General features: G+C 37.9%; 1 long non-coding RNA gene across 1 annotated transcript in view, besides 1 other annotated feature; it reads left to right on the top strand.

Annotated features, from left to right (window-relative positions):
• The window catches only part of LINC02627 (long intergenic non-protein coding RNA 2627), a 146,724-nt gene that overhangs the window by 16,250 nt on the left and 115,144 nt on the right, over window positions 1-15,330 (top strand). The gene's annotated exons all lie outside the window — the stretch shown is intronic.
• Window positions 6,559-6,853: a silencer, noted in NCBI's record as "tiled region #11507; K562 Repressive non-DNase unmatched - State 13:Ctcf". NCBI's record gives its function as "represses a minimal TATA promoter and a strong SV40 promoter by Sharpr-MPRA in K562 cells {active_cell/tissue: K562}" and the evidence as "EXISTENCE:reporter gene assay evidence [ECO:0000049][PMID:27701403]".

Here is a 15,330-nt window from a genome sequence, read left to right as displayed (position 1 = left end):
ACTTAGAAAACTAGGAAAGTAAGAAGAGAGAGAAGAATGAAGAGGATGAGGAGGAAGATTAAGTAAATTATCAATTCCAGATAGAACAAACTCTTGTACAGGGAAGGAAAACTAACTATGTTATATACCACATGTCTCAGCTATGAACAATCTTAAGAGAGTAAAAATGAATTAAATAATAAATATATTGACCTGAACAATCATATAGTATCATTATGTAAGGTAGGATGGTTGTAAAAGAAAGCTATATTCTCATCTTCCATATGGAGAAGTCAAGAGAGAATGTTTTAAACTGAAAAAAAAATAGAACTAGTAATGTAGGCTTGTTATTTAGAGATTTTTGATGTAAATACCAAAGTAAGCAATTTACAGGGAAAATATTTGCCTCTGGGAAGCAGATAATGGAGGTGGCAAGAGAGTACTACAGCTGTAAGATTGTGTATTATTGTCAGGGTAACACTAATTGCTATAACAAACAAACCCCCATGTTTATCATGGACTCAAACACAATGCAAGTTTATTTCTCACTCATTTAACAGCCCAAGGTGATTGTTTCTCTACGTGGATATGGCTGTCTTTCATGTGCTCAACAAGGAAGAAGAAACTCTGCCTTCAACTTCATATCTGGGGTCACTGTGTTTATCACTGTCCAAGTCTGTCAGGTGAACAAAGAGCATGGGGAATTGTCAAGGGTGGGGCTGAGAAAGTCACACCACATCTGCTCCAGTTGCCTTGACAGAACTCGGTCATAGGGTTGCTCCTAACAGCCACAGAGGCTGGGAAATGTAGCCTAGCTGTGTATCTAGGAAAAATAGGAGGACACAAATTTTGGTGAATGGTTAGCAGTCCTGCCAGAATTTGTAAAAATATTGGACTCTTTAAATTAAGTGTATTACAGATTGTTGCTGTAATTGTGGTTTTGTTCTAAAATGATAAGAGGAAACAATCCAGCAGAAGTCATTAAAATTTAACAATGGTTAGATTATGATAATTTTTTTACCCAGCATTTTTTAAATTATAAAACTTTATTGAAGATATAGAAAGTTCTTGTCTCAATTCACCTTGCTCCAGACTTCTCATAGGGAAAGGTCAAATGACACTTCGTATGAAGACAAACTCAAAAATCCAGTTGGTTCATCTGTAAAATGAAACCCAGATAATGGAGCAATGTCAACTTCTCTGTTATTATTTTAAGATTATATAATGGGATTATTATTATATATAATAGAATTATACAGGATTATATGTAAATACATATATAATAGGATTATATAATATATATATAGGATTATATATACTATATTATATATAATATATATTATATATGTATATACATAATAGGATTATATAATACACATATAAGATTATATGTATATACATAATAGGATTATTTAATCCTAGAATATATATTATTTTATATCTTATACATTATATAAATTATATATTTTATTTACAAAATATATATAATATATAATAGGATTATGTAATCCTAAAATAATGGCAAAGAAGGTGACAGTGCCTCATTCTCTGGGTTTTATTTTACAGATGAAGCAACTGGATTTTTGAATAACTAAGTGGTGAACCCAAAGTTGGTTATTCACTCATTCATTACGCTGATATTTATTAGAGCATCTACCGTGGACAAGTCACTGCTTATGTGAAGATGGTAACAGCAGCAAACAATCTAGACAAGCTCTCCTTTCACACAGAGCTTTAATCTTAGGGAGGATGCCCAGTGGCAGTGAGGACTCTAACCTGGGTCTTCAACCTGAAGATCCCAGCAGCTCATGCTGGGTCTCTCCAGCTATTAGACGTCTCATATATCATGTCTCATCTGTTACACTGAAATAACCTTCCTGCAGCTATATGATCAGATGGCCTCCCTTATTTATGGAGTGAACAAAAGATGCAAATTATATTTGGGAAAGTCCCTGTGAATCAAAAATGACACCCGTTTTCCCTTAACAGCTTTTAGGAGATGTTTCAGAATAGCATGGAAGAAAGACATGTGCACATTCCCTGTATAGTTTGCCATTCTTTTCTCCCAGCTATTAGAGGCACTTCTGACAGGTACCTTTTCTGGCAACTTCTAAAACTTGTGAGGTATGCTCTCCTATTTGACCAGGCCTAAAGAAGTCTTTTTTCATAAACTGCAATATCTATAAGATATTCATCCAGCTGCCTGAAGATCATCTCTGCTTCCTTCATTCAGGAAAATATCACCACTGACATGCCCTGCTTGCACTTAAATGATGTATGCTTAGTTGGTGCAAGGTTTAGTGAATAAGAATGTTTGAAGAAAAACTTTAAGCTTTCACTGGACATGAGGTCAGTTACAAAGAATAGGGGTCCTAGAAGAGTTGTCTTCAAGGGATTGTCATATAATATATTGTCCAAAATGTAACACTTTAAGAGTGGGAGGTGATGCTGTTAACAATGATGCTGAGACAAAAGGCATAAACAGAACTCCAGACAAATAGGAAATGTTAGCATTAAAGACTGACATTCACTTTCCTTGATGCATGAGTTGATATAAGTTGGTATGTATGTGTGTGTTTATATATTATGTGTGTGTATATACATACATACATGTATGTGTGTGCATATACATACATGTATGTGTGTGTATATATACTGATATATAAATACATACATATATTGCATATATACTGATATATGAATACATACATACATATGTATATATATCAGTATATATTATTCAGCCTTGAAAAGGAAGGAAATTCTGACACATGCTACAACATGGGAGAAACTTCAAGCCATTACAGTAAGCGAAATAAGTCAGTCACGAAAGAATAAATAATGTTTAATTCCACTTATATGGTACCTAGAGTAGCCAAATTCATAGAGACAGAAAATAGAACGGTGACCACCAAGGGCTGAGGGAAGGAGGAAATGGAGAGTGCTTGTGTAATGGGTCAGAGTTTCAGAAGATAAACACATTCTGAGGATGGATGGCGGTGATAGTTGCACAACATTGTGAATGCATGTAATGTCACTGAACTGTACACTTAAAATAGTTTAAATGAGAGATTTTGTTATATATATAACAAAATCTACTACAATAAAAATTGATCGACTTCACTCTCTTTATTTGGAAAATGATGAAACCTAGACAAGAATTTTCCTTTGGGCCTTTGTCCCAGGCATAAGCATGTTATGATCTCAATAGAGATTCATTGAGGTGGAAACACAGTTAAATCACCCACTGCTCCCTGCTGTGTTGTGACCACTTGGGAAAAGAAAGGAAGAGTCTAATGGGGATTAACTTCCTGGCAAAGCTGGCCAGAGAACTCAGCAAGTCCTCCCACTTGCCTCCTTAATCTAAACTTGAGTAAGCCCAGACTTAAGCCAAGAATGGCAGGCAGAGAATTTGGAACTAAGACAGCAATGACCTCCTGGATCCCCAGAAGCAAACTCTGTTGGATTTGCTTATCACATGGAGTAAGGCAAACTATCTCTTTCTAAGAGTAGGATACCCAAGAACCCAAGAGGAAAAAAAAGAACAAGGGGACCAGGAGGAAGATGACCCCATTGTCTTGGTATCAGATAGTGGCTCTCTCTGCCTGCCACTCTAATAAAGCTTCACAGATGTCAGGTTCTCTCCAGGCTCAATCATCACACAAGGAGCTCCCACACACTACAATCAATGAGGAGAGACATGTAAAAGGATTGAAGGGAGTACTGTAAATAAAGAGAAAATAAAGATTCCTGTTGAAAAAAAAAATTTTATTTTTTTATTTGCTATCACTTTTATTTATTATTATACTTTAAGTTCTAGGGTACATGTGCACAACGTGCAGGTTTGTTACATATGTATACATGTGCCATGTTGGTGTGCTGCACCCATTAACTCGTCATTTACATTAGGTATATCTCCTAATGCTATCCCTCCCCCCTCCCGCAACCCCACAACAGGCCCCGGTGTGGTGTTCCCCTTCCTGTGTCCAAGTGTTCTCATTGTTCAATTCCCACCTATGAGTGAGAACATGTGGTGTTTGGTTTTTTGTCCTTGTGATAGTTTGCCGAGAATGATGGTTTCCAGCTTCATCCATGTCCCTACAAAGGACATGAACTCATCCTTTTTTATGGCTGCATAGTATTCCATGGTGTATATGTGCCTCAACAGGTGCTGGAGAGGATGTGGCAAAAAAAACAGCCTCTAACCTTTCCTTTTCCTGTGCCTTCTCAGATATACAGCAAACCTTTTACTTCTTATTAACACACGATGTTGGGGAACATTGTCTTTTCTTCTTTACCCTGTAGCCCATCATCTTCTGTGGGCACCAAGCAATTTCCCATGTTTACTCCGAAGGCTGTTCACATAAGTGAAACCATTTGCACTGCACGCTGTAAAGGAAGGGAGGTTATGGCCCTTGGATCCAAGCTGAATAATTCAGACACAGTCTCATTCCTACACATCACTCTCCCTTATTTAACCCTGCATTGTTATTTTTATTTATTTTTTTTCTTTTGAGAGGGAGTCTCGCTCTGTTGCCCAGGCTGGAGTGCAATGGTGCAATCTCGGCTCACTGCAACCTCTGCTTCCTGGGTTCAAACGATTCTCCTGCCTCAGCCTCCCCAGTAGCTGGGACTACAGGTGTTCGCCACCATGCCTGGCTAATTTTTGTATTTTTAGTTGTGATGGGGTTTTACCATGTTGGTCAGGCTGGTCTTGAACTCCTGACCTCAAATGATCTGCCCACCTCGGCCTCCCAAAGTGCTGAGCTTACGGATATGAGCCACCACACCCAGCCTCCTGCATTGTTGACTAATTGATTTATATGTCTATGACCCACCCTATCCCTGAGCCCCAACTTTAGAGCAAGATCCTAAAGGGAGCATAGCATGTTGGTTGGCTGTCGAGACCTTCTTTCCACAACAGTCCATGCCAGCACACCCTGTGGATTCCATAAATGCCTATGCTCCTGATCCATTTATTAAGTTTCTGTGCATGCCTAGGGCAGGGGCAGGTCCTTGCCCTGAGGGAACCCATTATTTAATAACAATCTATAGATTCCGGAGCTGCTGGTGGCAGGGATGCTTTCTCACAGGTCCCATGGGCTTTGGGGGGAAGATTTTCAAGAAGATTAGGAGATGAATTTGTTTTGAAAGACAGTACAGAGTTAGCCTTGACTGCAAATTGGACATTTTATTGCATTTGTCTGATGGATAATCACAGATAAAGACTTTGATCTTTATCCCCATGGCAGCAATAAGAAAAAGGCAGGAACTCTGTGTACTATCTTTTATTTCTTTTCTCTGCAGTTCTGGGAAAATTGAGCCTATTTAAATGCTCAGAAGAGTCTCTCCTTGTGCTCTTAAATGTTGCTGGGCGTTAACCACTCTGTCTTTGTCCCCGACAATACCATGATAAGATGGAGATAGGGGAGGGACTGTGAAGCTCTTCTCTCTCAGCAGAAAGACTAATGGATGGGGAAGAATAAGAATGTTGAAAGGAAAGAAAAGGAAGAATAGAGGATTAAATGCTGAGTGTCATGGAAAAGATCAAGGGAAGAATTACAACAGCAGTGCAGCATGGCCGTCCCAATGAATGCAAGAGATCAGATTGGGGCTTTATTCTTCAGACACAAGATGCTGATGGTCTGTGGCCCAGATTGTCAACATCAGGACCTTTTACTCTTCAGATAGATTCTCCCCCCATGATCAAACCAAGTGAAGCATTCCACAATTAAACTTGTGAACTGACTCAAAAAAAAAAAATGGGCATGTGGAGAAGCTGAAATGGAATTCAGGGAGTTTGATAGTACCAGATGAAGCTTCTTCCCTCCCACGATGTATTTAACTGACTCCACTGGCTATAGAATCACTATGTTTGTTGATCATGTTTATCAAGGGCAGAAAGTAACTTTCACTATAAAATGAAGACTATATTAACTCTTATTTATCCTTACAAAGGAGTTGGCCAAATGCCAGTTCCTTCAAGGCTTGAGATGAAGTCTGGTGCACTAGAGCGGATGTGTGCAGGTGGTACACATAGGTACCAGGGTGCAAGCACACAGGCCCACCCATTCTAGGCAGCTGGGCTATGCTGCTGAGCCACAAGTGTCTGACCCTATTTGGACAAAGAGACTTAAATGTAGACATTATTTACCACCATGTCCAAAGGGGATTACATGCAGAATCATTTCATTTTCATGTTAACTTGTGGGATACTTTATATGATTAGTTTTAAGTCTAATACATTGTAGTCTTCATTCTGTCTTTATTTCCCCGTGTTTTAATGTAACCATAACATTGTAACTAGCCTGGACCTCACTTGACTTTTGAAATGCCCTGTGTGTATATGTGTGTGTGCGCATGTGCACGCATGCACATTGGACAGAGCAGCGGAAGGGTCTTAAAGTGAAAGGAATTCTGTGCTGAAAATTAAGTTACACAGAATGTAGAAATGATTGCCAGTTTTGCTCACCAGCCCTTTATTTATTTTTCAACAGCAGCACAAATCCCATAACAATTAATTCTGTACCTAGCCCCGGGAACCACAGGTACACCCAGTACAATGTGTAGCAATAGTTAAAACTTCTGGAAAGAAAACAAACTTCTAAGGTTGCCTCATAATCAGGTCTCTCCTCTAACATGATTTTGAATGACACATGTAAAAGAATGACCTCTAGTGGTTAGATGCCAAACCTACAGTGCTGTAATTAAGAACCAGATCTTAATGGGTGGGGGTGGGACTGTATTCAAGCAGTTATTATACAAAGCAGCATGAGGCATCCTAATAGAGAACACACACCCACCCAACTTTCTCTCTTATAACTTAGCAATTATACTGGAAAGGCATCAAAGTTCGCATATCTCATAGAAACCTAGAATTAGATCAGGGGCTTGTAGCTTCTTTCTCAATATGACACTATACACAGTATTTGCTCATACTTCTACTTAAAAATTCCCAGTTACTAGACACATTGTACTGGTAATTTATCTTTATTTTCTTCCTGCATAATAATAAACTCTGTTTTTCTTTGAGGAATAATTTTCCCATGTGCCTAATTTAGGGAAAGGGAGTGGGAGATAGAGCATATTATTCTACATCTCAGTGTAAAAGTGAAATGTGGACAATCACTTCCTCTTCCCTTGCAGCTAGAATCTAAGCTCATGAACTAAGAGTAAATAGTCATCTTCCTCCCCAGTAATTCAAATCTGGAATGAGGGGGTTGGTGATTGATAGTGGCAGTTAGGTACATGCCCGAAGGAAGTATCTAGAAGTAGAGGCAATGTCTAGCAGGTTTTGCAGTGGTTATGTCCAATGCATCTAGCATGTTATGCATCATTTTCAGGCCAGAGTATTCATCCAGAACTGTATTATTTCTTTATTCTACCTCTTTTTAAAGCTTGGCCTTTCAGGCTCCCAACATTCTATAGTATCTCAGCAATTTTATTGCTTAGACAACCAAAGTTGTCTTCTCTTGCTTGCAACCAAGAATTCAAATAGGTCAGTCTGTTTCATCAATGGTATACACCTCCTTATTATAGACACTGCCATAAGACTTGATGCTACCTTCTTCTGCAATTTGATATTCCTTTGGTGTAAGTTGAAAGTCTTAATGTGTTCTTATTAGTTTTCAAAGCCTTGGTGTTTCTGTGCTAACACTTCTACAGAGAAAGAAAATCATTTGCTAAAATTTAAATAACTAGAAGACAATTGCTTAGCTATTTTAATTAATTTGGGGTGGGGTGTGCTGTTATTGTTTTTGTACCTCCACTTTGAGGTGATATAAGCAAAGGAAACAAAATGTGCACATTGAGAATTGGGTTAAAAATAATAGACCTCAGACCTCTGTGAGTGGGGTATATTTCCTGTACAGACTTCTATACAGGTATATGTCTCATATAGACTTCCATATAGGTATATTTCTTGTATAGACTTCTAATTTTAACTATGAACTCCTTGGGATTTCAGGGAAATAAAAATATAAAAGAAGCCAGTTTTTCTTGTAATGTCTTATGAAAATCTGTTGATCTTATGGTGCCTGCCAGCACCATGGGAAAAGGCAACATAATGGCTTAGTCCAGCTCAAGGGTATGAGGTGTCTCATTATTCCTTCCATGAAGGGATTTTTCTGTAATCTTTCAGTTCTCTAATCAGCCACTCTCACCTATGTCCCACCCACTCTTATCACAATAGCATCCCATATCTCACATTAACAGGAAAGACAGAAAAGACAGACTTTGTCTATTTTTCCTACCAATATATGCCTCCAATAGTTCTATGACTTTCTTGTGTACACTAAAACGTTTAAACCTTTCAGATTCAACTGGATTATATACTAGCATCCCCATATGAAAATAAGACTGGGCCAGTGTTATATAAATCCTCCACAGCAAATAGAATACAAATTATGCACAGCGTTAACGTTAGACTTCATGGGAAAGAAGATCAAAAGATTGCCCTGGAAACATATGAAGTTAGAGGTGACATATACCCAGAAATGTTTCAAGGCAGAAGAAAGGAAGGCTCTGACCAGTCAGCAGTCCTTAGTCCTATAAGTTGGATAATCAGCACAGCTCATTCCAATTCAATTTGACTCTCTTTTTTAAACCTGAATAAATAGTAAATATTTCTACCCAGAGTGATACATCTTTAACATCTTTAATTCTCATTGTACGAAAAGAATATTCACTTTGAAAATCAACAATATTTAGTAGGTCGAAGGATACAAAGTTGTAGTTACATGGCATAAACAAGTCTAGAGATCTAAATGTACAACATATGGACTATAGTTAATAAAATTGTATTGTCTTAGGGTTTTTTGTCAAGTAGATTTTAGCTATTGTTATCACAAAAAAGTAACTATATGAGATGATAGATGCATAATTTGCTTTACTGTTGTAACTATTTTACTACCTACATGTATTCCATAACACATACTGTAAACCTCAAATGTACACAGTAAAATTTACTTTAAAAAAAAGAAAATCAGCAATATCCAGAACTGTCAGAGTAAAACTCCATTTTGTTCACAATAGTGTACTTACTGTCCACTCCCCTAGCAAAATAAATTTGAACATGGTAGATTTTATGATGATTTACAGCAAAGACAGTTTTTAAGATGCTTCTGTTAGCCAGAAAACAAGCGTAAGCATAAAGGGCTTTGCCTGATTCTTCAGCTTACCAGTGTTGCCATGTGTTTCCTCTTCCAGTTCTACATACAGGAATTGAACAACCTCTGAACATCTCCCTTTGAATAGGCAGTGTATTAATTGCCTTGAAAATACAGTGTTTATTGGAGATAACCACAGATCTTCTGTAAACCTATCACCCATTTTAGCAAAGCATTCAGAAGCAGTCAATTGTCCTATTGAACAAATATGATCAACCTTTCCATAGCTGAGTCTTACTACACATCCATCAAAAACACAAAATAGTATGTCATCATGAACATTTGTAGAAGCTAGGATCAATTGGAGTTGTTTGAAGAAAAAAAAAATGGCCAAGAAACTCAAGTGACCTTATAAGCAGGAAAAAAAATACTAGGAATATTGATAGCAGGAAATCAAAGTATCAATCCATAGAAAGCAAGAGGGAGGCAGAATAAATTAAATGGCCCCTTAGTTCCTGGACTATATCCCTCTAGAGCAGTGCTCCAAAACACACATAAACACACACCCATAAGCAATACTTACCATCATGTTGGGTAATCTTGACCCAGTAGACACAGACACACAGACACACACACACACACACACACACAAACACACACACACACACACACACACACACACACACACACTCCCCATACCCTTAAATCAGGTTATGTCCTGACATTTCCCTACTTTTGCTATTATGGAGGAATAATTTATGCACAGCAAAGTACATAGATTTTCAGTGTACAGTTGGATCAGTTTTAACACACATTTTTAAGTTTCTCCTGGCTCTCAGGCACTTTTTTGTAGGCACCGAGATTGTTAGCCATAAGTAAAACAAATCCCCTGACTTCAAGGAACTTACATTCTAGCAGAACATGCAGATAGTAAACCATAAATATACAGAAAAACAGACTACAAATCAAGGTGAAAAGAGAAGGTGCATTATTCACAAATGGGGGTAATGGAACTTATCCTCAATACGATGACATTTCAACAGATCTGAAAGTGGTGAGAGATTGAGCCATCCAATTCTCTAACGAATGCAAATGCAGGCAGAAGAGAATGTATACACTTATGTTGCCGTCACCCAAACAATACATGGAACATTCCCAACACTCCAAAAGGTTTCTGTACCCTTTTCAGTCAGCCCTCTCCCCTACCCAGATAACTACTATTCTGATTTCTTCTATCATAGATTAGTTGTGCATATTTATGGACTGTATATAAATGGAATCATACAGTATACACTCGTTTGCGTTGCCCGATGCATTTCACTAAATTCATTTTTAGCTCCCTAGTGGGTTGCAACCCAGTTTGAAAAACAAATTGATTTAACATATACCATACATCAGATTGACTTGGTGGGCTTAAAAAATGCAAATTGTCAGACCCCCACAGAGATTCTGATTAAAATGTAGATTACTGGGTCCACTCCAGACCAATAAAAGCGTACATCCTAGTGTGGTGCTGCAGGTTGTTCAAAGACTACACTCTAATATGGTTTACAGATGAGTTTCTCAATCACTCTAAACAATGCTTTCACCACCTCCCCACCTCTATCCCAGCTAAGAAAAGACAGTGACTCCTTGTTTACTGCTTATGGAATCAAGCCAAGTACCCTTGTCAGATGTGTGAGGCCTTCCATCGAAGAGTCTTACTTTCCTGGCTGACACACCTTCCTGTTACTCAGCAACAGCAATGAGAATCTCATCTGTTTAGTGACCTCTCCTGCCCAGTCATCCCTCCACCGTGGAATCCAACGCTAAATTTCTACTGCATGCAAGAACCTATCATTGCTTGTTAAGTTGAATGACAGCCTCAGATTTATATTCCCTGGAAACTGTGTTGGTCATGGGTGGATCTGTGAATAATAGCCAAGTCTGTAAGGCATTACAGGTTCATTCAGAGGTAGATTGATTGACTTGTGTTATTAATTCTCCTCCACAAAATTGTGTTCTGTGCTATTTCTCTGTTAAAGAGAGCATTCTTTGGCTCTACCACCTTGTTAGAACATTGGTACTATGTGGTCTCCTGGGTATATCTGGGAACAGATTGGCCTCATTTCTCCTTATGCTTTCTCACTCTACAAATAGGAGAAAAAAAGGCTCTTTGAGTTATGGTTGAAACAAAAGTTGTAAAAATATATCACTAAAGGCAGGAAATAAGGGGTAGGATAAAGAGAGGGGGCTGGGAAATTAAAGGAAACCTTCCATTTCTAGTCTCTGTGTTTTGTTCTCTTCTCTCTGACCCATATAAAACACTGTAAAAATGTGTAGTTATCAGGGTTCAGTGCCCCTTCTCAGTTAAATTCCTTCATTTATTTTTTCTTTCATTAATTTAACATACATTTTTAAGTTTCCCCTGGCTCTCAGGCACTTTTGTAGGCACTGAGATTGTTAGCCATAAGGAAAACAAAGCCCCTGCCTTCAAAGAACTTTCATTCTGTTGGAACATGCGGGTAGTAAACATATAAACATACAGCAAACTATAAATAAGGATGAAAAGGGAAGGGTGCATTATTCACAAATGGAGGTAATGGAAGTTCTCAATAAGGTGGCATTTCAATATCTCTGAGAAGGGTGAGAGATTAAGCCATTCAGCTCTCTAAAGAGGGCAAATGCAGGCTGAAGAGAATTGCAAAGGCCCCAAGGTGGGGCCTTCTTCCGGTGTTTGAGCAATAGAAGTGAAGCTGTTGTGTGGGAGGTCAGAAAAGGATTGTGAAAGTAGAACACGAAGGGACGAACTTTGGCATTTATTCTGAGTTCATTAAAAATAAAACAGAGGGTTTTGAGCTGAGACACACGTAACGTATTTTATGTTTTCATAGATTTACTCTTACTACTGTGTTGAAAATAGACTAATGGGCAGAAAGGAGGAATTGTGGCAGCTATTATAATAAGCCAAGTAATAAACAGTGATGGTAACTTACAACAGGGCAGTGGGATTAAAAATAGTAGGATTATGATTATATTCTGATGGTGGCAATGACAAGATTTGTTCAAGTGTGGGGTATAGAAAAAGAGGGTATCCCAGGATAATTCCAAGGCTTTTGGCCTGAGCAACATGAGATATGAGGTTACCATTTACTGACACTATAGAAGGATTAAATTGGAAGAGGGTCTGGGAAGTCATTTTTGAACACCTTTTAGATATCCAAACAATGATATCCAGAAGACAGCACATATAAAACTGTAGCATTCACGTGATATGTTTAGTCAGAGATATAAACCTTGGATTTGTCAATTTATGGATGTCACATATATACATAGAATATTTATTTATTTATAGATGGCATATATGTAGTGGATTTGTCAATTTATAGATGGCATATCTATTTATATGTCATATATGTAATCTATAAATTGACAAATCCAATATATATGCCATCTATCTATCTATCTCCATGAGGTTGGATGGTTGTACAAAGAGAAGGAACAATGTCCAAGCACTGAGCTCTGAGATATTTCCAATATATGGCTGTCAGAGAGATGCAGAGAAAGAAATAAAGAAGACAGAAAGGAAATGTTCAGTTATATGAAAGGAGAACCAAGAGGATGTCAGATCCCGGAAGCCAAGTGAAAAGAAGATTTTAACAAGGAGCATGTGATCATACAAGATGTCAAATGCTCCTGATAGGTTAAGTAAAATGAGGTCTGATAATTAATTATTGAATTTAGGAACATGGAATTCATTAGTGATTTTGACAAGAGCCCATTCAGTGGAATTAGAAGCGATGAAATCCTCATAGAAATGGGTCGAACGCTGAATTGGAGATAAATTAGAGACAGGTTTTCTGTCTGAGAGTTGGAATAACTCTCAAGGAGATTTGCTATAGAGTGGGTAGAGAAATGGTAAAGTAGTTGAACTATATGAACAGATACACACACGTATCTCATCTTAAATAAACATACAGTACGTTTGTGAGCTCAGGAAATAATCTAGTTGAGAGAGGAAAGAGCTGAAGATTCAGGAGAGAAGTGGGGGAGTGAAACATATCCATGAAGTGATGTACTTAAGTAGGTGACAGACAATGAAATCTGGAGCACAGGGGAGGTGCTGGTCTTGGAAGCATGGAGAACTCAGCTATTGGACAAGGAGGGAAAGGGGAATGCATGGATACTGATGTTGCACATATGGTTGGGGTAGCTGGCAGAAGTTTTCTTCTCATTACTACTGTTTTGTCCATGAAATAGAAACTGAGGTCATCAGCCAAAACTGAAGATGAAAAAAGAGGTATTGGAGGAGCAAGAGAATACATAAGTCCTCTAGAAGAATTAGACCATGCAAGGATGAGGGAAAAGCAGTAGAATTTCTCGGCATCGCTGAGGGCCCATGGGAGGGTAGAGTCATCATAGTAAAATGTGAGTTAGAACTTCACATGAGTTCATCTTTATCAGACCCCTTTGCAGATGAAATAGACCCCACCATGTGATACAATTGCCAGAGGAAACCAGCACCAGATATATTCCAGGTCCTAGTTCACTGTCCCTACCTATACGCTCTTGTGTTTTGTCCTCAGTGTCATGTGTGTTGGTTTGCTCCTCTAAGCAGATCTAAAACCCCTCCTGGACAATGGTGTGTCTCCTATGCTACTTAAGATTTTCACAGGGCCTTATACTGTAGAGGACATAAACTTACTTAATTCCATCATTTATGTCTTTAGCAAGTGGTTATTTTCTGACTATCAGAATTGTGACAGATGGTAAAGCATACCAGGTCTTATTCCCTTGGGGAATGCTATAAAGTGACTATTCCCTAATTAGGGAGAAAATGAATCCAGGGAAAAGAAAAATCTACATAAGCAAAAAAACAACATGAGTGATCACCCCTCCCTCACCATTAAGATTTTGTACCCAGGAATCAGGGGACTCCAGGTAAAATAAGGGCCCTCTTTGTTTTAGAAAAGAATAGCAGTGGAATATTATTTTATTAAACTTGTAATCATAAAACATTATATCTGGGAGGAACTTTTTGATTTTCTCATCCTGAAAAGAGGTCCAAAAATGTTAGCAATGTGCTTAATTATTATTGATAGAAAACAGCATTGGAACCTCTGATGCTGGATTATCAGTCCAATTCTCTCCTTACAAAATCAAAGAGATGAACCAGAAACTAAAGATGTTCTCCCTCTGCCGCTCTAGATAAGCAGACTGCTTTGCTCTCTCCCTCTCAGGCTTGGGCTTGAAGGGGTGAATTAAGATGATGCATTTCTTTCTCTCTTTTTTGCTTTCTTTTTTCTTATTTGTAAAAGTGTGTGGGGTACATGAGAAATTTTTACATATATATAATTTGTATATAATGTATAGTACTCAAGTCAGAGTATAAATGTCCATCACCTGAGTACAATACATTTTTTAAACTATAGTCATCCTACTCTGCTATCAAACATTGAACTTATTCCTTCCATCTTACTGTGTGTTTGCACCGTTTAACCTACTTCTCTTAATCCTCCCCTCTTTTCTTCACTTACTCTTCCCAGTCTGTTATCAGTTTTTCCACTCTGTACCTCAATGTGTAAAAAGTTTCTAAATTCCCACATATAGACGAGAACATATAATATTAGTCTTTTTATGCCTGTCTTATTTCACTTAAGAGAATGACCTCCAGTTCTATTCATGTTGCTGCAAATGACAGGATTTCATTCTTTTTATGGCTGAGTAGTATTCCATTGTGTATATGTAGCAGACTTTCTTTATCTATTCATCCACTGATAGAGACTTAGGTTGATTCCATATCTTTGTATTATGAGCAGTGCTGCAATAAACATGTGAATTCATGTATCCCTTTGATATATTGATTTATTTTTCTTTGCGTAGATATACGCAGTAGGATGGAATGGTACTTTGGTTTTCCTTTGGGTAGATACCCAGTTGGATGGAATGGTAGTTCTGTTTTCATCTTTTGGGAGAAATCTTTATATTGTTTTCCATAGTGACTGTAGTAGTTTACATTTCCACCAACAGTGTATAAGAGTTCCCTTTTCTTTACATCTTCACCAGCATCTGTTATTTTTTGTCTTTTTAATAATAGCCATTCTGACTGGGGAAAGATGATGGCTCATTGTGGTTTTTATTTGCATTACCTTGATGATTAGTGGTGTTCAGAATTTTTTCAGATACTTGTTGGGCATTTGTGTGTCTTCTTTTTAGGAATGTCTAATCATATTCTTTGCCTACTTTTTAATGAGATTATTAGTTT

The sequence above is a fragment of the Homo sapiens genome, chromosome 10 (genome assembly GCF_000001405.40).
Source record: "Homo sapiens chromosome 10, GRCh38.p14 Primary Assembly".
Classification (NCBI taxonomy): domain Eukaryota; kingdom Metazoa; phylum Chordata; class Mammalia; order Primates; family Hominidae; genus Homo; species Homo sapiens.
The sequence above is the reverse complement of the archived record's forward strand: the minus strand, read 5'-3'. Positions and strand labels throughout refer to the sequence as shown.